This window comes from Homo sapiens, chromosome 4 (assembly GCF_000001405.40).
Source record: "Homo sapiens chromosome 4, GRCh38.p14 Primary Assembly".
In the NCBI taxonomy this organism is placed as follows: domain Eukaryota; kingdom Metazoa; phylum Chordata; class Mammalia; order Primates; family Hominidae; genus Homo; species Homo sapiens.
In genome coordinates, this window is record NC_000004.12 from 10,562,818 (window position 1) to 10,584,748 (window position 21,931).

Genomic DNA, 21,931 nt, shown 5'->3' on the forward strand with positions numbered 1-21,931 from the left:
GCTTATCTATTGTCTGTCTATTGTGCATTTATTTATCACTGGTCTCCTACCATTAGCATATATGTTTCATAAGCACAGGGAATTGGTGGTTCACGGATATGTCTTTAGAGTCTATAATTGTGTCTGATCCTAGCAGGCACCGATGACATAGTTCTTGAATGAATTTGTTGAGTGAATGATTGAAGTGTTTAGCTTCAATCACTGCTGTGCCCGTGTAAAAAGGAAGTGTTTGATTTTTCATCACTCGTCTTGCTCCTTCAGTCTCTATCAGATATCTTCTGTGTAAATGGTCGGTGTTGCTTGATAAGATTTGTAGTTTCATTTTTCTGTCCAAATTAACAGAAGCCCTCAAGTTAAACAGACAATGAATATAAAATATGTGAGGAATATTCAAAAGCAGGTTAATACTCACTAATAACTGTGGTGCAAACTAAAAAAGAATAGTGAAATCCCTTTTTAAAAAATACAACTGAAAAACTAATAGCCAGTATTGGTGATATTTCTAAGGGGTGGATATTCCTATACAGAGTTTCTGGGATGGTAAATGGAAACAATTTTTTAGAAAGGAAATTTTACAATACATACTGAAAGCCTTTAAAATGTCTTCACTCAATGGTTTAGTAAAATAATTGAAAATCCCATAGTGGGTTATGCTTTGTCTACAAAAATTATACTTATGAATGCTTGTTTATCACATGAGAAATTGTTTTATACCAGAATTTAATGTGAGAAGAAAAATAAAGCAGGTATATACTAAACAATGAGGCTTCCCCTGTTTGACAGATATCTGCATAGAAAATACTGACAATGGCCCGGCGCGGTGGCTCACGACCATAATCCCAGCACTTTGGGAGGCTAAGGTGGGTGGATCACGAGGTCAGGATTTTGAGACCAGCCTGACCAACATGGTGAAATCCCATCTCTACTAAAAATACAAAAATTAGCCGGGCATGGTGACGTGCACCTGTAATCCCAGCTATTCAGAAGGCCGAAGCAGGAGAACCACTTGAACCCGGGAGGTGGAGGTTGCAGTGAACTGAGATTGTGCCATTGCACTCCAGCCTGGGCAACAGAGCAAAACTCCATCTCAAAAAAAGAAAAGAAAAGAAAAGAAAATACTGATAATGAAGTGCACGAAAATGTTATGACCAATAACTGCAATCCCAGGGGGTGATCATTTGTATTTTATGCCTTTCTGGATTAAGAAAATTAAGTGTTAGCAAATGTTTTATTAAAAATAAAATTCTATGTATGCATTTAGGGCATTTGCATTTACTAGATTTTTTCTTTTTTTTTTTTTTTGAGACGGAGTCCCACTCTGTCACCCAGGCTGGAGTGCAGTGGTGCAAAATTATCTTTTGTAGCTTCCAAACAGCATTTTGAAATAAGCATGGTAGGATTTTCTGTTTTTCCCTCTTTGGTAGATAAAGTTACTAGGAGGCTTAGAGAGGTTTCATGACTTACTTATTACCTCCCAGCTCATAATTTACCATGTTGGGCCGAGACTCTGGGCAAAATCTTATATTATGATCAGAAAGATTTGAGTTCATGTTCTTTCTCTGGAGAATGCGATGAGCATTAGATGAGATGCATGTCAAAGTCCTTAGCGTGATCTCTGGCTCACAATCTTCCACACATCTGAATTATCCTTCTTTCTAGAGGTAGGGCCATGATGCTACCAGTCATAAGAGTCACCTCCTACCAGTCATAAGAGTCACCTCCCATCCACCTCAGTGAGCTTGACCTGCTCTTTCCCTAATAAGATGGCCTGGGGGACAGGAGATGGGGCAGTTTCTAGCTGGTTAGGAAGAGCCCTACACATGTTTGTGTCACAATGTCCAGTCTTTACTCACTCTTTCCAACCTCGTCTGTGTGTTCCAGGTCGGCTGTCCAATGGAGATAGAGGTCCTGGTGTCTAACGGAAGGGGAGTGTCCATTGCAACCTTGAAATAGTGTGTATCTATGCAAACAGAAAAATATGAAAGTCATACCTTACGTGGACTCAGCACATTACAATTTACAAAGTATTTGCACATCTACAAACTCATTGGATCATTACAACGTAAGTAAGAGCAAGCAATTCTGCTTTCATTTAACAGAGTAGGAGACTGACGTATGCAGAGAAGAAATTGCTCATCTCAGTGCACACAAAAAAATGCCAAAGTTTGAACCTGAATATTCTTCATTTTCTCATTCACCTTAGAAATTCTATAAATCTTACAAAATTTTGGCTATGCCATGCCCTTTAAAAATCTTACTAGATCCCACCCAGTCACACCCCATGCCAGCTCTCCTTTCTATATTACACACTTAGCATATTCTATCACATTCATCGGTTGAGCTGCTGGTTTCTGCCACTAGATTGCACCTTCCTGAGGGTATGGATCCTGCATTGTTTGTCTTTGTGTCCCCCAGTCAATCCCAACATGGAAACTGGCACGTAGTAGATGCTCAATGAATGCTTACTGAATGAATGAACAAGAAAAGTCATCATCATTTACAAGATGACTTTCTCCAAATACACTTCTATAGATTCACTTTAGTGGTTCAGGCCCTCAGAAATTGTGAATACTTCCTCTTTCCCCTTACAATAGGGTGCTTTATCTCAAGGAACTTGCTGAAGCTGCCCTTTGTGCCACAGTTAGAGACAGAGGTGGGTGTGAAATTAGGTCCTCTTATTCTTAACAATTGCAGCTTTGCTGCCATGCCCTGCTGACGCTCTTAGGCTGGCTGGCTGCACAATGAATTAACCAAGTTAAAAAGTCTTTTTTTTTTCATTCTACTCCCCTCTATGCAGACCTCATTTAACATTTCCCATGCTGCTGCATCCCTGCTTGTCCACCCTCCGTTATGCTCATCATTGTTCCTAGGGCTCAAGGAGAGCATCGTGATAATAACAGCTGAGAGTTACAGATCTCTGGCTTGGTACCAGGTCCTCTGGTGAGAACTCAACATGCGTCATTCACATAATCTTCAAAAGAGCCCTCTGGGTCAACTTCTATTATTATGAACCCTGTTTTCAGAAAGAGAAAGTGGATTGGAGAGACTTTCTCAAGGTCACACAGCTAGTAAGTCATGGGGGCAGACGTTAACCTAGGGTTGTTTAATTCAGAAACCGCACCTTTAAATAGTGTGCAATATGGTGGCATGTACATGCATCTTCTTATTTCAGGCAGACCCCCAAACGTTACCTGCATATTCAGATTCCTTTATAGGCCGGGCTGGTAAAATTTTAATCGACTGCCATGTCTCTTCCATCCGAAGCTCAGGGTCATCATAGTCATCATCACTGTGGCCTTTTGCTCCATCCAGGACTGCAGCAAAGTTTCTTTCCTAAGCAGGTGGTAACATTCCAGTGAGTCAAAGGAAGGTACAATGTTGACAAAGACAGGCTACAGTGCTGGCTAGAGAAATGGGGTAGACCTTCTTAGCTGCAAGTTAAATATTTAAGAATCTAGGGTCTGGGATCTTAAATAGAAGTTTAATTCTTGTGCTAGTGAGAATTCTAAAGATATCTCCCAATATTCTCATCTCTGGTTACTGAATCAATACTAATCTAGGTACTGCTGTGAAGGGACAGTGCAGATGTAATGAAGGTCACTAATCAGCTGACCTTAAAATAGGCAGATTGTCCTGGATTACCTGGGTGGGCCCAATGTAATCACATGAACCCTTAGAAGCAGAAAGAGGACTTACTTGCAAATAAGATAATCTTGTATTTGAAGAATTCACTAAAAAATTATTAGAACTAATAAATAATTCCTCAAGGTGGCAGGATACAGGATTAATATACCAAATTCAGTTGTATTTCTATATGCTAGTAATGACAATTTATATTTCTATAAATTAGTAATAACAAATTGAAAATAGAAATTAAGAAAATGGGCTAGGTGCGGTGGCTCATGCTTGTAATCCCAGCGCTTTGGGAGGCTGAGGTAGGAGGATTGCTGGAGGCTAGGAGTTTGAGAACAGCCTGGGCAACAGAGTGAGACCTCATCTGTACAAAAATGTTTTAAAAAAGAAAACGATTATATTAGCAATAGCATCAAGGAGAATAAAATATATGGAAATACATTTAACAAAAGAAGTGCAAAATTTGTACACTGAAAACTGCAAAAACACTGTTGATAGTAATTTCAGAAGACCTAAATAAATGGAAAGATGACTAATGATCATGGATTGGGAGACTTAATCTTGTTAAAATAGAAATACTTTGCAAATTAACACACTGATTTATTTTGCAGAAATTGACAAGATAATCCTAAAATTCTTAAGAAAATAAGAAGAACCAAGAATAGCCAAAACAATCTTGGGAAAAAAAAAAAAAAAAAAAAGATAAAGTTGGAGGACTAACACTTATTTCAAAAGTTACTACATAGATGCAGTAATCAAGACAATGTGGTATTGGTAGTAAGATAGATGTGCGGATAATTGGAATATAATTGAGGGTCCAGAAATAAACCTTCACACTGAGGGTTAATTGATTTTTAAGAAGTGTACTAAGACAATACAATGGGTGGAAAGAATAGTCTTTCAACAGATAGTCCTAGGACAACTGGATATCCACATGCATGGCAGTGAGGCTGAACCTCTTTTTTATATCATATGCAAAAATTAAGTGCAAATGGGCCTTGAATATAAATTTAACAGCTAAAACTATAAAACCCTTAAAATATTGGAGTAAATCTTCATTTCTTGGCTTAGGCAATGATTACTTAGATAGAACAAAAAAATACAAGCAATAAAAGAAATAGATAAATTGGACTTAATTAAAATGAAAATCTTGTGTGCTTCAAAAGACCACAAAAAATAAAAAGGCAACTGTGGAATGAAGAAAATATTTGCAAATCATGTATCTGATAAGGAGCTTAAATCCAGAGTATATGAAAAACTCTTACAATGCAATGATCTAAGGATAAATAACCAAATTTTAAAGTGGGAAAAGGATATGAATGGATGTTTCTTCAAAGAAGATATGCAAACCATCAATAATCCCATGGAGAGATGCTCAATATCATTAGCCATTAGGAAAATGCAACTCAAAAGCACAATGAGATGTCAGCCATACAACACCAAGATGATTTAAAAAAAGACAGAAAATAATCAGGGCTGACAAGAATGTGGAGAATTTGAGGATCTCATGCATTGCTGATGGGAATGTAACAGGGTACAGCTGCTGCAGAAAATGCTTTGGCAGTTCCTCAAAAGGTTAAACACAGAGCTACCATATAATCCAGCAACTCCACATTCACACAAAAACTAGCACATGTTTATAGCAGTATTTTTCTTAATAGTAAAAAAGTGGAAATAACCCAAGTATCCATGAACTACTGCATAGGTAATAAAGTGTTGTATAGTCACACAATGGAATATTATTCAGCAATGAAAACGAGTAAAGTACTGATATATGCTATAACATGGATAAGCCTTGATAATATTACGTTAAATGAAAGAAGGGAGTCATATACAAAATGGAATGTTGCATGATTCTGTTTATATGAAATGTCTGGAAGAGGAGGATCTATAGATAAAGAGTAGATTAATATTTGCCAAGGTCTGGGGGAAGGGGGGACTGGGTTTCATTTTGAGATGATAAAAATATATTGATTGGAGTGATGGTTATGCAACTCTGTGAATATACAAAAAAACCATTAAATTGTACTCATAAAATGCGTAAATTGAATGGCAGGTAGATTTTATCTCAGAAAAACCTGTTTTAAAAAGCAGAAGAGGAAGTCAGAGAAAGGAAGTAGACAAGAAAGAAAGAGAGATCTGGCAGAAGGACAATTTAGATAGAGGAGTCCAAGAGTAGAAGGATTTGACAACAGCCAGCCAGCAGGGACATGGGGACCACAGTCCTACAACAGAAAGGAACTGGATTCTATGAAACAACCCGAAAGAATCTGGAAGCAAGTTCCTCTTCAGAGCCCCTGGAGGAGAATGCAGCCCTGCCAGCATGTTGCTTTCAGTCTTGTGAGACCCAGAACAGGGGAACTAGTTGAGCCATGCTGTGCCCAGACTTCTGATTGCATCCACTGTGCGATAATAAATGGTCAAGCTGCCAAATCTGTGGGGATGTGACATCACAGCAATGGAAAACAAATGCAATTATTTGGGTCTTTACTGTGAAGGGTGGGGCCTCAAGAAGTGACACCACTCTCTGTATATTGTCTTAAAATGTGACACTATCACAGTAAAAGCAACTGCAATGTGAAATTTTGTGCTAAAGCTGACACCATCATTTTTGAAATTCTAGTTCATTCGATCAGGTTTAGGTGTGAGAATTTAGGTAAAATGTATAGTCAAGAAAATTCTGTGGGTTCATATTCCCCCAGCCACCTCCTCCCCAAGTGAATTGGCCAAGACTGCCCTTTTTTTTTTTTTTTTTTGGTCATTTTTCCATTCCTGAAATGGAGCCAGGAGACCAGGTTACAGACCATTGGTACTGCACAACATTTGAGGGTGGGGTTCTTATCTGATAGGATTAGTGTTCTTATAAGAAGAGACACCAGAGAGTTCTCTCTCTCTCTTTCTCTGGGTTTCTCCCTCTCTCTCCCCACCCGTCCCCAAATGCACACACTGAGGAAAGGCCATGTGAGCACACAGGGAGAGGGTAGTCATTTGCATCCCAAGGGGATAGTTCTCGCCAACCCTACTGGCACTTTGGTCTTGGACTTCTGGTCTTCAGAGTCATGAGAAAATAAACCTCTGTTGTTTGAGCCATCCAGTTTATGGCATATTGTTATGGCAACACTAGAAGACTAACACAGGCACCTATCAAAGGCTCTGGGTCTGAACACTAGACTGGCAGGAATGGACACCAGTCTGCAACAGATGCACTCACACACAATGGTCATTATAGGAATTCTGGAATGTGCTCCTCCGCATTAAAATCTGCAGCCGGCATCATGTTATGTGTAAGCACAGACATGACTCTTGATCTTGCATTCTTGGAAAGGTTACTTAAGCTCCCTGACTGAGATGTTCAATCTGTAAATTGGAGATGACTAAACCCACCTTATCTTGTTGTTGTTCATTGAGAAAATGTATCTCAAGTCTCTACTTTGGTATCTATTCCACAGCAGGAACTCAGTACCTGTTGGATCTTTTTTCTCTAGGTGATGTGCTGAGCCATAGGTAGAGCCCAGTACCCAGGACAAAGCAAAGCAAAGCTGCTAGTATGTGTACTCCAGGAAGTTTCACCATTGACACAGTAAAGGGAGAGAAGGTGTCTCGGTTCTGGAACTGTACACCCAGTGAGCTCTCAGCTGGAGCTCGGGCAGGAGAATCCTTTGGGGATTTGACAGATGGGTATTTGTGCAAAGGTGCCATTTACATACTGTTACGGCCATCACCAAGGCTCTCTAGGGCATAGCCTCTTGGGGGAAGTCTTGGACCTGCTGGAAGAACTGGGATGTGAGCCTGAACCCATTTTCCAACTTTCCACCCAATACCTTTGCTAGACTTGGTAGAGTCAGGACATGATAAGAAGGCTGGGAAGAACAACCATCACTCCAGGTAAGAAGAGACTTTTGCCCCCAGGAGTAAATGTAAGTGTTTTGGTGTACTTCTTTAGAGAGAGAGAGAGGAAGAGAGAGAAAGAGACATTTGTTTTAAATATAGAGTTATATCTATTTATCTATTAATGTATTATCTATTTTCTAACAATTTCAAGGAGTCTTAACTAGAGGTTCAATATTCTTTACCCATGAACCTTTTAATTTTTACAATTTTTGTGTGTGCATGTGTGTGTATGTATATGTGTGTTTGTATGTTTCTGGGTAAGGGTCCATAAGCTTTAGTTAGATTCTTAAAGAGCTACCTCAAACAGTAAAGAGTCAATGAGTTTATGAACAGAATCAATCAGTCAATCAATCAATCATACATCTGCCTATCTAATCTATAGATATGCAAGTGAAAACTATTTAAATTATATACCTATACATTTGCTTGTAATAAAATATATTGAATTAATGTTATAAATTTTAATCTTTTTCTCTAGTTGTTAAAATTATTTGTAAATATTGCAAATGATTTCATAAAATGGATGTATCAAGATGCAGTTACTTTTGTATTACTGAATACTTAGCATAATTCAAATGTGCTGCCATTTAAAATATATTATAAAATCTGTGAATATGTTTAAGTATCAGTACATATTTTAGATTAGCTTTTTAAACTCCCAAGAATGGAATTATTGGGCTAAAAATGGGTATTTTAATGTTGCTTACTTGATATTATGAAATTGCTCTCTGGAAAGTTTATTTCAATTTAAAATTTTACTATGAGTGTTAGGAAGTGTGCTTCTCATAACGCACTTGCCGGCACAGTGTATTGGTATTTTCACTTTATTCAGCCTTCACAATGACCATGTTAATTAATTTTTATTTCCATTTTATAGCTGAGGAATTGGAATATAGTTTTACACCCAAGAATTAAAATGCAGTTTTTCTTGCCAGGAAAGTATGCCACTTGGAAAAGTATTTTTTGTTGTTGTTGTTGCTGTTGCTTTTTTTTTTTTTTTTTTTTTTTTTGAGACAGAGTTTCGCTCTTGCCGCCCAGGCTGAAGTGCAAGGGTGCTATCTCGGCTCACTGCAGCCTCTGCCTCCTGGGTTCAAGCGATTCTCCTGCCTCAGCCTCGTGAGTAGCTGGGATTACAGGCTCACACCACCATGCCTGGCTAATTTTTTGTATTTTTAGTAGAAACGGGGTTTCCTCATGTTAGCCAGGTTGGTCTTGAACTCCTGGCCTCAGGTGATCTGCCCGCCTTGGCCTCCCAAAGTGCTGGGATTACAGGTGTGAACCACTGCACGCAGCCTGTTACTGTTGATTTTTAAACATTTTACCCAGTATCTTGAATCAAATTCACCTGCTTTGCAATATTAAAGACGTATAAAATAGATAAGGGAAGCAGCTGACTTACCCAGTCTAGAAGAGGCTTGTTCATCCTCTGGTACTGGCCTGCCAACACAAACAGACCGAGTGTTATTTTAATCACTGTGGTAGCTCCAAACATCAAAAAGACTGGGCCCTTGTTTTTCTCCAGAAATCTTTTGTCAGTTTTAATTAACTTACCTTGATTGTGATTTTTCAAAACTAAAGTGCATTTTTCTTTATTTCCCATTCTACCTGTTGCTCTTGCAAAACAGGACAAAGAAACAGGAGAAAAGGAAGCAGAATTCAAATCAAACAGTGACTTGGAGGTAAGAAACTTTATCTCTACTGTAGCAGGTCAAAATTCCTGTTGCTAGAGAAACATAATATGAGAAGATCTCTCACAGCAATTGCTCCCGAAGTCTTGAGTCAGCAGCAGCTCAGCTAATGATGAGTTTTATTTTCCCTTCTCTTCCCCCACAAGGCACAGCATGTTGCAATTGCAATAATCTGTCCATACATCTGTCTCCTGAATAGACTATAAGTATTTTGAGGACAGAAGTCATAGCTATTCATTCATCTATTTCTAGCACCTGGCATAAGACCCCGTATTGAACAATTGAGTTATGGACCAGGTGTTTGTTGAATGAAAACACAGCAGTTGCCTTTTCTCAGCACTCAACACTCTTATTTGGGCTTGTTTTATGAAAGATTGCCTGGGGTCATTGAGCCCACTCAGTATTCTATGTTTAAAATTTTACCCTCAGATTATGCAAAATCACTGCAGATTTTTTCATTCTTCATAAACTTTATTTTCCTAAATTGTATTGTAGTTTCCTGCTATTAGCCTGCATCAGGGAGCATTTGAAACAATTTTTTAAAAATTTCCTTTTTTAAATTAAATTCTCTTTATTAGCACATATGTGAGAAGTTTCAGGTCTCAGGAGCAGAAGCTGCATGCTTCCTAGCAACTGGTTTGCTTTGATTTAAGGATATTTCCCTTCTTCCTTTGGCTGCCAAGAAATTCAGGATAAATTTCTGAATTTCATCTAAGTATTGTGGAGGACCACGATGTGATAAGCATTTCTACTTCTTGCTCTGGCTTTATCATTTTCCCATTTTGTTTTGTTTTGTTTTGTTTTTTCTTGTTTTTTTGAGACACAGTCTTGTTCTGTCACCCAGGCTGGAGTGCAGTGGTGCAATCTCAGCTCACTGCAACCTCCACCTCCTGGGTTCAAGCGATTCTCGTGCCTCAGCCTCCCGAGTGGCTGGGATTACAGGAGCACACCACCACACCCAGCTAATTTTTTGTATTTTTAGTAGAAATGGGTTTCACTATGTTGGCCAGGCTATTCTCGAACTCCTGACCTCAAATGATCCGCCTACCTTGGCCTCACAAAGTGCTGGGATTGCAGGTATGAGCCATGGCACCTGGCCTTTTATTTTCTTAAACATTAGTTATTTCACTCTGAATTCCCCTATCTTACCAAAATATGAAATAAAGAGTTGTTAATTGTATCAGCATGCCCAAATCTTTTCTAAGGTGTAATGTACAAATTAATGCAAATTTGGCTCAGTGGAAACACAGTTCTCTGGAATTTGCCTAGGACCAGTACATATGGGAAGTGTTAATGAGACAGAGCTAATCTCCTTGAAATAATGAGCTGGGAGGAACAGAATCCTGCCTACACCTGCCCCTGGTCCCAGCCCATCCTTGGGGTTGGATAGCAGCTCTAGGGCACTGATGACACCTTCCTGACCCAGCACAATTACATCCCCACTGAGATCCCTGGCAGAGAAACCAACACGTTTTCCAGCCCTTTAGAGCAGCAATTTGTACTCTCTCATGAATCGAGTTAAATTAATAAGGTCACCCATTAAAGACCAGCTGGCCCGGAAGGAGCAAATGAGCTCAGAATTATTGGGGATCTGCTCTGGCCCTCGTTATCGAGGAAAACAACTCCACTGTTTAATTCAGGGTTCAATATAATTTCATTTTAGAAAATTGGCCTCAAGGAGTGCGGTCATGATACTGACATCTTCTTGGGGAGCTGCGGGGTCTCCTTTCTCACCAGAGGCGAGCGTTCCAGCCTGAGACTCTCCCAGATTCCCCAAATACGCTTCATGCCCCTTCTGTGTCTGTGGGTACAGACCCTGCCTGGAGCCTCTTCTCCCTCTCACCTCCCCTTTGCTTCCCAAATGCTCATCATCCTTTCAGATCCCATTTCTCTGCTTTTCTCTCTGACTACTCCAGGCCACATCAATCTCACTGAATTGTTAACGCATATGTTTTCTGTCTCACTCACCATGACATTTAAATACGAATAGGCAGGATCTGATTACTTTTTTGTTGTGTGTTCTTTAGGGAAGGAATTGCCTTTTATCTCTCAGTCTCCTAGAGTACCTATCTGTGTCATCAGTGCAGAGTTTTGGAAAATGCAATTTTAAAGCCTGATCCTAACACCGTGCATCAGTTCATGTCACTCATGGCCCATGTCATACAGACTAGGTGCCCTGTGTGGCCCCCAGAGCTCAGCACAACCTGCCCCACCCTGCTCTCTGACCTCATCCCTTTTCAGCCTCTTCTCTCCTGGACCAAACTGTAGTCAGGCTACCTTGAACTCTCTTCTCTGTGAGGCCCTACCTTGTGGGATTCCATATTCATTTCTGCATTGTCCAATTTTTGCAAGACTCCTGCTCAGTCAGTTTAGCCAGAATCTCCCATTCTCCATGTCTGATCAGCCTCCATATCTCATCCAATCAGGGCCCTCCTCTGCCACCTTCCTCTGGTGATGTCTGATCACCCTGGTCTGCCTTCCGCAAGAACATTTCAGGTCAGTTTAGCCGGAAACCACCTCTGCCCCCGCCCTTTCCCTTACCCCTGAGGTTTCCTCTTTGTAATTTTCCTTTCCCAGACCCTCACGCCACTCCCTTTAAGGGAGGAGACCACCCCTCATATTGTCTTATGCCCAATATCTGCCTCCAAAGAAAGAAGTAAAAACTAAAAGGCAGAAATGAAATCCACAGGCAGACAGCCTGGCGTTGCACCCTGGGCCTGGTTAAAGATTGACCCCTGACCTAACCGCTTATGTTATCTATAGATTCCAGACATTGTATGGAAAAGCATTGTGAAAATCCCTGTCCTGTTCTGTTCCGTTCTGATTACTGGTGCATGCAACCCCCAGTCATGTACCCCCTGCTTGCTCAGTCAATCACGACCCTCTCACGCGGACCCCCTTAGAGTTGTAAGCCCTTGAAAGGGACAGGAATTGCTCACTTGGGGAGCTCGGTTGTTGGAGACGTGAGTCTTGCCAAAACTCCTGGCAGAATAGAGCCCTTCCTTCTTTAACTCGGTGTCTGAGGGGTTTTGTCTGCAGCTTGTCCTGCTACACCTTGGCTATAAATTTCCACTTGTCCGTATTGTATTCTGAGTTGAGCCCAGTCTCTCCCGTACTGCACTCATTGTGGTAATCCCGTACCTATCTCCATTGTCTGGAATAAAGCCTGTCTCAGCATTCTGCAATAAGAATCATGAAACTCTTCCTTTACCTCTTTCTCACCTCCGACTTCAGCTGCTTCAGCCAGCCTCTCCTTGAGTCTGCCAGCACACCCAGCTCACGCTACTTCAGGAGCTTGCACACACCATCCCTCTGTCTAGAGCCCTCTTTTCTTGGCTCTGCCCATGCCTGGATCTTTGTCCACCATCCAACTGTGTCTGAAATGTCATCTCCCCTGGAGGGGTCTTCCCTGACTACCGGTGTCAAGCAAAAATTAAAGAGCGCCTCTCCAGCGCTGTTCCTCACCACTCCTGGCACCTGGTATGGCAGTGAGAATGCTGCACACACGTGCACACCAGGCCTGTCTCCTTTCCCTGTGGTGCTTGGCTGGCGTACATATCTCTCCTTCCCCTGCACTGGGCAGGTGGGTGGGCATGGCGTGGATCTCCCAGCCCTGGGGCGTTGGCTGTGATGGACTCTAGGTTGCCCTACTTGACCTTCTATGCTCTTGTTCTTGCCTTGATAGCTGGGCAGAGACCCCAAGGCCCATGGGGATGATGGAAGCTGTTGGGTAAAAGGGAAGTGAATCACAATGACTGTTTGGAAAAAGCCTTCCTTTGATCCACATTGGATTGTGATGTGAGGAAGAAATAAACCTTTATTATATTCCACTAACATTTGTAGTTTATTCATTATAGGTGGTAGTCCTCCCTGATTAAGACTTTTTTTTTATGTTTCTCCATAGCATCTAGGAACAAAGCCAACCAATAAATAATCTAGTTACAGACTGTGGTACCTGCCTCCCCCCAGGCAGTGGCAAGACGTCAGGCTCCTGATGGCTCCCGCAACCCACGTGTAGCAGAGATGGGCATATGGTGAATGCACAATCAATCAATAGTCAGTTGTCAAATACAGCATGTGGTACAGCAGGAACATGTCAGAACCGGGAAGCAGCGATAGAACCTTCCTCCTCCCTCACTGAGTGAACAGAGCTTTACACTTCCCCTCATGGACCCAGATCCCCACCAAAGTGGCTCACCCAAACCCTTCCAGGTCTTCACGTCTTCCTGGACCTGAAAGACAGATTGGCTTCCTAGGGCCATTTTCTAAAAAGAGAAAGGGAGTTGCTCAATAGATTTCATATCTGCATCCCAGGAGAGTTATGGTCGTGTTGCATGGATGTGTGGAGGGTCATCCATCACCCACAGACACCAGACAGCTCCAGAGAACAACTGACTTCTGTGTTTCCCTCAAGGAAACATCTTTTTGCAAGAAACAATGTCCCTTTGAAAGTTACTTTTAGGAGGGAAGTGAAGATGGATATACGCAGTGTAAAGCCCAGGAGAGCCTCCTGATAGGCAGAAGGCAATTACTCCAGCCCTGTGGCTGTCCCTTGAACAGCTCTTCTCGTGTCTGCAGAGGTCCAGCCAAGGATGACAGAGGTGCTTGGCCAATACCTGTCCAACTGAGGTCCCCTGACCATTTGCATCAAACTCACCTTGGGAGCTGAAAAAAGGAAATAAGGCAAAACCTGAGCCCCAGAGCAAACCAATTGAATCAGTCTGCTTTTTTCCTCCAGCTCCTCTGGTGACATTTATTCACCTTGAAGTTTTAGAACCGCTAAGTTAGAAGCTCCAATTCCCTTCCAAAGGAAGACAGGCCATTAGGTAAATAGAGACTCTCAGATTATTTTCATTTGGAAACACTTCTGGGAGCTCAAATCTCTGGAGGTGCAGGGCCGGTGCCTTCATCTATGCCCCCATTTAGTGGCTTTGCAGGGACAGGGTAGCTGGTGGACCTTCAAATGCTGTTGCCATGGGATATTCACATTCAAAGGAAATCCTGAACTGGAAGAATTCCCAGTGGGTCCCATGGTGAGAATATGCTCATCTTGCATGAGAAGAGAAATAAAAATAGGAAGCCTGCAGAGGTTTAGCACTCTCTATTTCCCTAGGAAAGCAAGTCAGTTAGCAGGTTGCTTAGACATTCTCAAGCCAGACAGGTTCCCCAAGCAAAACCAGCTTCCGGTTTCATTTCAGTTTCAAGAGAAGACTCAGGGGAGTGGAGAAGGGGAGGAGAGGTGTGGCAAAGATCAGGGCTGGCTCCAAATCTGCAGGTTGCCAGCTGGACTTAAGAATATGTGTTGAAAATTGAGGGGTCTGTGAGTCCTAGCCACCTGTCACTAACTACTCTGTGGCAGAGACAGTTGTGTGTCTCCCCATACCTATTTTCTCTGTCTTCTCAGGTACCAGAACCGCTTGCTGTTTAGCTGGGCACATGGTCGGAGCTACATGTCTTCCTTGTAGCTATGCATGGCCATAAGTCCAAGCTTTGGTCAATGGAATCTAGGTAGAAAATCAAGTCAGAATTTCCAGGATACTCCCTGAAGTTGTTACGCACTTTTTATTTCTCCTTTTTGTTTTCTTTCTCCATCCTGTTGCCTGGAGTACAGACATCACGATTTCAGGCTGTAAGATTAAGGCCAGTACAAGGGAGGGAGCAAGAAGGCGGGAAGAACAGGGTCTCTGAGGACTTTCAGGAGCAGAGCTGCCAAAGAGCCTTGGACTGCTTACCTTGGGACTTGACTTACATAAGAAAAAAAAAAAATAAACGTCTATCGTGTTTAAGCCCCATTTTTTTAAATGTCTTGCAGCCTTTGATGTTTTATCTCCTTATGGAGGTTAGTGTTTGGCAGTAACATAGCAGAGCAGCTGATCAAAGGCACGAGGAAGGCAACATGTATTTCATGGGAGCTGAGTCGAGAAGTTTTAGGTTTAAATCCTGGCCCTGTCACTCTTGAGCCATGTGACCTCAGGCAAACCCAGTTACTTACAAGCCTCAGTTAACTAGGGTTAACTTGTAGAATGGGAATAATACTACCTACCCCCAAATGGCTGTTGAGAAGTTTTGGTCCATGGAATTTAGGTGGGAAATCAACTCATAATTACCAGAGGATAACTTCTTGGCTCAGTGCCCAGTAACAAGATGCTGTGTTGTGTGTTTTTCTTTTCGAGTTTAACGTCACAGCCAAATCCTTCTCACTCAACCCAGGTCGTTAGCACTGCTTTCAGATCTATATTGAGAACTTGTTCTGTTTTTAGTGCTCATTTTTAAGCAAAATGTGTGGCTTTTTCAGCATTCAACTCTGTTGATATCCACCTGCTGATTCTTCACAAGGGTTCTTCAAGCTGGGATCCCCTTCAGCTGTGAGGCACAGAGATTCGGTGGACACCATCATCTGGGTGTCCCCTTATCATAAGATTTAAAAAAATCCTGAGGCCAAAATCATTTGGCACATAACACCAACACATGCACTGTTATGGGTTTGAGTTCTACTTTGCTGATGTCTTTCCAAACTTTCTGACTTCTCTTGGACTTGGCTTACCTTATCTTTTTTTTTTTTTTTTTTTTTTTTTGAGATGGAGTTTTGCTCTGTCACCCAGGCTGGAGTGCAGTGGCACAATCTTGGTTCACTGCAACCTCTGCCTCCTGAGTTCAAGTGATTCTCCTGCCTCTCAGCCTCCTGAGCAGCACCACCACATCTGGCTAATTTTTGTATTTTTAGTAAAGATGGGATTTTACCATGTTGGCCAGGCTGGTCTTGAACTGCTAACTTCAAGTAATCCACCTGCCTCAGCCTCCCAAACTGCTGGCATTACAGGTGTGCGCCACCATGCCCAGCCAGTTTACCTTATCTATACAGTGAGAATAATAAGATCAGCACTGTGTAGCTAAATTAGATAAGTTTATAAAGTGCCAGGCACAAACTGGTGACTCCATGTATGTGAATGTCTTTCCTTTTTCCTCATCCACAGGTCCTAAGACTTGGTTGTGGTGTAAGAGAACCAGGGATCAAACTCTGGGGTCTGGATTGACAGCCCCATGCACTTTCTTTCCTCTATACTGTGCTGCTTTTCACAGTTTTTGTCTTTTAGGAACCATACAGTATTTGGGGAAAGAGGGCGTCAAGCTGATTTTACCCCAGTGTAATGAGAAATAGGGTAGTCCACACCCTTTCCCCTGGCAGGTTCCAAACTTCAGAACATCTTCAGTTTGGCATCGATCTATATCTGTGGGGAAAGGGAGAAATCTACTTTCTTGCATTCCTTTTCACCATCTCTGAGTAAAGTATTATGAGAGTAAATGAGTTTTTGACTATATGGCTTATAATTGGGAAGAAGAAGAAAAGAGGAAGGAAGAGGGGAATGAGAGAGAGAGAGATAGAGATAGAAAAAAATATATACATATATACATTTACATGCCATATAACCATATTTTGGTCAATGATGGATCACATATATGACCGTGGTCTCATAAGAATATAATGGAGCAGAAAAATTCCTATTACTGTTATAGGAGTTATTAATAAATTATTTTAGGCAAATGGAGAGGAAAAGGGGTCCTTGGAAAGTTTTTGTTTCTTTTAAAGCAGCTCCAGAAATGCTTCTTGTCTAACAGGAAAGCCTGGGCTCTTAGAGCCAGCTAGCAAACTTTGATATGGAAATGCCAGCCATTAGAAACTGGGTCCACCCAAACTTGGTGATTCCCACCCTGTTCTTCTTGCCCTTGTCCCCACATGTGCCTGGCAACATGGCCACCCCCACATATCCCCACCTGTGTAGAACACCATGGTGCCTTGCATTTGCATATTAAAAGGCTAGGGTAGGAGGGCCAGTTTTATTCACGGGCTACATGAATGACATGCCTGGTCAAACCAATCCCCTAAACCCTATGCAAATCAGGCACCACCTCCTCCAGCCTCCTCCTATAAGCAACCACTTTTCTGCCACACAGGGGTTTTGTCTTTGTTCAAATCCCCCTCCATCTCTGTATGGGGGAGCTGTTTTCTTCTTCCTTCCTTCTTTCTTGCCTATTAAACTCTCTACTGCTTAAAACCACCCCACATGTGTCCATGTTGTTTTATCCAGTTCGGCACAAGACTAAGGACCCTGGTGTTCCTCCACTGATCGGATCCATATCATTACCTAATGATGTTGTAGCCATTATAACATCATAGCACAATGCATGACTCATGTGCTTCTGACGGTGACATTGGTGTAAACAAGCTCACTGTGCTGCCAGTCATATGAAAGTCTAGCACATACAATTATGTACAGTACATAATACTTCTTAATGATAAAATAACTATAACACTGGTTTGAGTGTTTACTATATCATACTTTTTATTGTTATTTTAAAGCATCCCGCTACTGATTAGAAAAAGTTAACTGTAAAACAGTCTCAGGCAGGCCCTTTCGGAGGGATTCCAGAAGAAGTCATTGTTATCCTAGTAGATGACAGCTCCATACGTATCATTGCCCCTGAAGACCTTCTAGTAGGACAAGATGTGGAGGCGGAAGGCAGTGATATTGATGATCCTGATGCTCAGCAGCTCTAGGCTAATGTGTGCATTTGTGTCTTAGTTTTTGGCAAAAACATTTAAAAAGTAAAAAAAAATAAAATAAAAATTAAAAAATTAAAAATAGAAAAAATTCTTCTGGAATAAGGACGTGAGGAAGGGAAATATTTTTGTAAAATGGTACAATGCGTTTGTGCTTAAGATAAGTCTTATTAGGAAAGAGTAAAAAAGTCAGAAAACTTTAAACATTTATAATTGTAAAAGTTATGGTAACCTAAGGTTAATTTATTATTGAAGAAAAAATATAGTTTTATCAGTTCGATGTAGCCTAAGTGTAGAGATTCTAATGTTGACGTGGGTTTACGGTGATGATCAAGCCTTCGCATTCACTCACCACTCATTCGTTAACTCATTCAGAGAAATTTCCAGTCCGCAAGCTCCCTTTATGGTAAGTGTCCTACACAGGTGTACCCCTTTTATCTTTTATGTTGTATTTCTACTGTACCTTTTCTATGTTTAGATACACAAATTCTTACCATTGTGTTACAACTGCCTACAATATTCAGCACAGCAACATCCTGTACAGGATGTTTTGTTTGTAACCTAGGTGCAATAGACCATGCTATATGGCCTAGGTAAGTAGTAGGTTACACAATCTAGGTTTGTGTAAGTACATTCTATGACGTACACACAATGTTGAAATCACCTAACGATGTATTTTTCAGAATACGTCCCCATTAGTATGTGACACATGACTGTGTATGTATATATATGTGTATATTCATATACATATACATACACACACACACACATATAAAGAGAGAGGAGAGAGAGAGACTCAGTCATCTAGCTCTCTGGGTATTTCAGTTTATTCACTGGACAACAGTTCTTTGATCTGAAGATTATGAGCTAATAATTCGAAGCCACAGATAGTCCAAACTCACAGAAACAGCTACACAGGAAACACTTAACAGGGGGTTGAAGAACAGGCATAATGTTCTAAGTAGGTGGCCCTTGGAAGTTTACTTCTGTTCTCTAGTTCTTAATTTCCTCATATGTAAAATATAGTAATACAATCTCAGACTACCCGAGTCCCCAGGACCTTTAATTTTTTTTTTTTTTAAATCTGTGCCTAAAGCTGGTTATATGGAGCTACCACAAATTGGTTGAATGAATGGATGGGTGAGTGGGTGAATGGTGATAGGGAAGGCAGCTGCCTCCCACCTCATTCCTTGATTGCCCTTAGAAATGCAAATGAAATAATAGAGACATTTGTTATCTAGAGAATAGAGAACAGCTTCTTGGTGGGAACAGTCTGGATAGTTTTCTTCTCTCTCTCTCTTTTTAACCCTTGGTCAGCAAGTCTAAAGAATGGCCCAGAACTACTTGAATTGGAATTATCTTGTTAAAAGTAGGGATTCCCTGGCCTTACCATATGCCTGCCAAAGAGCGTAAACCCTAACATGGGCTAGAAAATATTCATTTTCAACTGTTGTGATTTTTAACTATTGTAATTGAATTTTGAAGACAATGTTAATCCTTGAGTTTACCAATCTTGGGATGATCTGAAATCCTGGCTTGTCCCAGAGATTCAACTATCAATTTTTTTATTTGTTTCTGTTCACGAATATTCCCAACACCCTGGGGAGAGAACCAGGAGGATCCAGCCTCTGCTAAATTAATACAGGCATTGCAGCATCTGGAAACAGCCAGCAGGAGGCATTGGATGCTCACATATTCTATACCTGCCTGTCTCCCTCTTGTCCTAAAATCCTTATTAATTTTTCTTTTACAAGTAGGAAAAATCAACCTTGAAGACTGCTTTCCTTAGAAAAACTTAAAAGTAGTATTTTCCCTGACAAGATGAAATTTCTTGTCTTTTAAATCAAATCAGCTAATATCTATCTTCATCAATGTTTTTATTATACGTGGAGGCTTAAGACAGAAGGACCCACTTTCTAAATAGGGCCATCTTTTCCAGTTTCATTCTTTATTTAGGGGAAGGAGAAAAACTCATGAGTTTATTTTATGGAAAGCATTGCACTGTTCTCTGTGTATCAGCCTCCGAGAAGGTATTGACCTTGACAGACTGTCCCAGTTGGAACATGTGTCTGTCTTCTCCAGGCTTGGAATGGTTTTCTAAAGAATATTTTTCGATAGATTGTTTTTAGTATACAAAATCATATGCTACTGTAGAAAGTTATAAGACACAGATATGCAAAAAAGAAGGAAATAAAAATTACTATACTGTTACCACAAATAATCCAAATATACAAATATTTGATTATAGTCAAGTCACTCATACACATACACAGACACACACACAATCACACACACCTCACATCATAGATATATAGCTTATAAATATACAATCACTCCTTGTACCCTATTTTTTACCTGCTTTTTCACAAAATCACATGCTATCAACATATCCATGGCAATGAATGTGCTTCAACATCATCATTTTAATGGCTTCCTAGTATTTTCTCGCATGAACGCCCTCTCCTGTTTTCAAATGATCCCATCGTCAAAAATCAGAAACAACTTGAAGGATCTGGGAATGTTATCAAGCCACCGTCACGCACAGTCTTTTTTGTAAATCCTCATGCATATCTTAATTAGATCAGGTCTGCTATTCTTTGGTAGACATTTGTAGTGGTTCATAAGTATGCCTAGGCTGATTCATAAGTATGCATAGGTCTGCTGGGCTGTTATTTCTTTCTCTCTCTCTCTTTTTTTTTCTTTTTTGAGACGGAGTCTTGCTCTGTCGTCCACAGCGCCCAGGCTGGAGTGCAGTGGGGTGATCTGGGCTCCCTGCAACCTCCATCTCCCGGGTTCAAGTGACTGTCCTGCCTCAGCCTCCCAAGTAGCTGGGACTACAGGTGCCCACCATCATGCCCAGATAATTTTAGTATTTTTAGTAGAGATAGTGTTTCACCATATTGGCCAGGCTTGTCTCAAACTCCTGACCTTGTGATCCGCCTGCTTTGGCCTCCCAAAGTGCTGGGACTACAGGTGTGAGTCACCGTGCCTGGTCTGGGCTGTTATTTTGAACAGACTGGGAATGTCATAATTTGCTGCTAAGTGTTTCTTTCCGGTAAGGTGTAGGTTCGAGTGTGTATGAGCAGGCCTGGGCGACTTTATATCAATGGACTTTTGTGGGGTTTCGATTTGTTTTCTTTTTCCTGCTGGTGTCTCTAGATTGCTGTCAAGGAAACGGAGTGCCCATCTGCCCATTTCTCTGTGCCTTAACCAAGGTGGGGAGCAAGATGGGAGGAAGAGGATACAGGTAGTTGGAGCTGGCTGCTGTATTTTACCTGTGTGCTTTATGATTCACCGGTCACCAAGCACATCAGACAAGCCACTTCATTCCCAGGTACCACCCCCTTAGAATATTCTCTTCCCTCCAGGATGCCAGTGCAGGATGGGAGGGGTGAGAGGTGCAGGTAGGTGGAGAGGTGCATTTGATACTAAAGACCCCAACACAATTTGGTATCATCTACCTTGAGAGAAGACAATCTTGTTTAGGCCTGACTGGGAAGTTGAATGAAAACTTTTTCTGTAGAGGGATTAAGGCTGGGTGCTCTCTCCCTGTGTGAACTCGTATTTCCCACTTTCACTTTTGCTTTTGCCCAGTTCTCCCAGCTGCTGGGTGGGACATGCTGAGTGCTGGTTTTGTACTCCCACATGCTCTATAGTGAAACTTTCAAATGCCTTTGCTGATTACATAACTCCTTATGACTCCATCGCTTCTTTGGTGTTTCCTCTGGACAATGTCTCCATTTTTCTGCCTCATTCCAGTCATTCTATCTAGACACCAGCTTTCTAGGGAAGTTCTGTGGGACTTTCCCTGAAATAATAACCCTCCCCAGTGAATACTACATGCTTTTTCTCAAACTTTAATGGGCTCCTGTTAAGTGCGTAGTACCAGAAAATAGGCTATGAAGAGAGATACAGGAGAGGCATCAAAGGTGGCTTTTGAACCATTCATTCTTTCCACTCATGTTTTGGGGGTAACCAATTATATGGAATTTAGTTGAGTGAATACTAGTGAGTCACCATAAGACTGGCACTGAGGTAGACTTATACCCATTGCACAGATGAAGGAACTCAGGCTCAGAAAGATCTGTGCTTCATGCAAAGCTGCACAGCTAAGTAGAGAGCCAGGATTCCCATCCAGCCACCCAGCCTCCAAAGCTTT

The 21,931-nt window shown here is 41.3% G+C and overlaps 1 protein-coding gene and 1 long non-coding RNA gene across 4 annotated transcripts in view, besides 1 other annotated feature; one reads left to right on the forward strand and one right to left on the reverse strand.

Annotated features, from left to right (window-relative positions):
- Nucleotides 1-21,931, reverse strand: part of CLNK (cytokine dependent hematopoietic cell linker) — a 248,452-nt gene that overhangs the window by 76,423 nt on the left and 150,098 nt on the right. For all 3 annotated transcript variants that reach the window (XM_011513775.3, NM_052964.4, XM_017007684.2), the window contains exons 5-7: nt 8,924-8,961; nt 3,192-3,333; nt 1,854-1,960 (exon numbers count right to left, since the gene is read on the reverse strand). In XM_011513775.3, the coding sequence (XP_011512077.1) occupies nt 1,854-1,960; nt 3,192-3,333; nt 8,924-8,961 (287 nt within the window). The remainder of the gene's footprint in view (nt 1-1,853; nt 1,961-3,191; nt 3,334-8,923; nt 8,962-21,931) is intronic.
- Nucleotides 1,926-13,154, forward strand: LOC105374481 (uncharacterized). Its single transcript, XR_925385.3, has 4 exons — nt 1,926-2,062; nt 7,119-7,518; nt 9,150-9,203; nt 13,117-13,154. It is a non-coding gene; the product is annotated as an uncharacterized LOC105374481 (long non-coding RNA).
- Nucleotides 15,577-15,626: an enhancer, noted in NCBI's record as "active region_21314". NCBI's record gives its function as "activates an Ori minimal core promoter by ATAC-STARR-seq in GM12878 lymphoblastoid cells {active_cell/tissue: GM12878}" and the evidence as "EXISTENCE:reporter gene assay evidence [ECO:0000049][PMID:35858748]".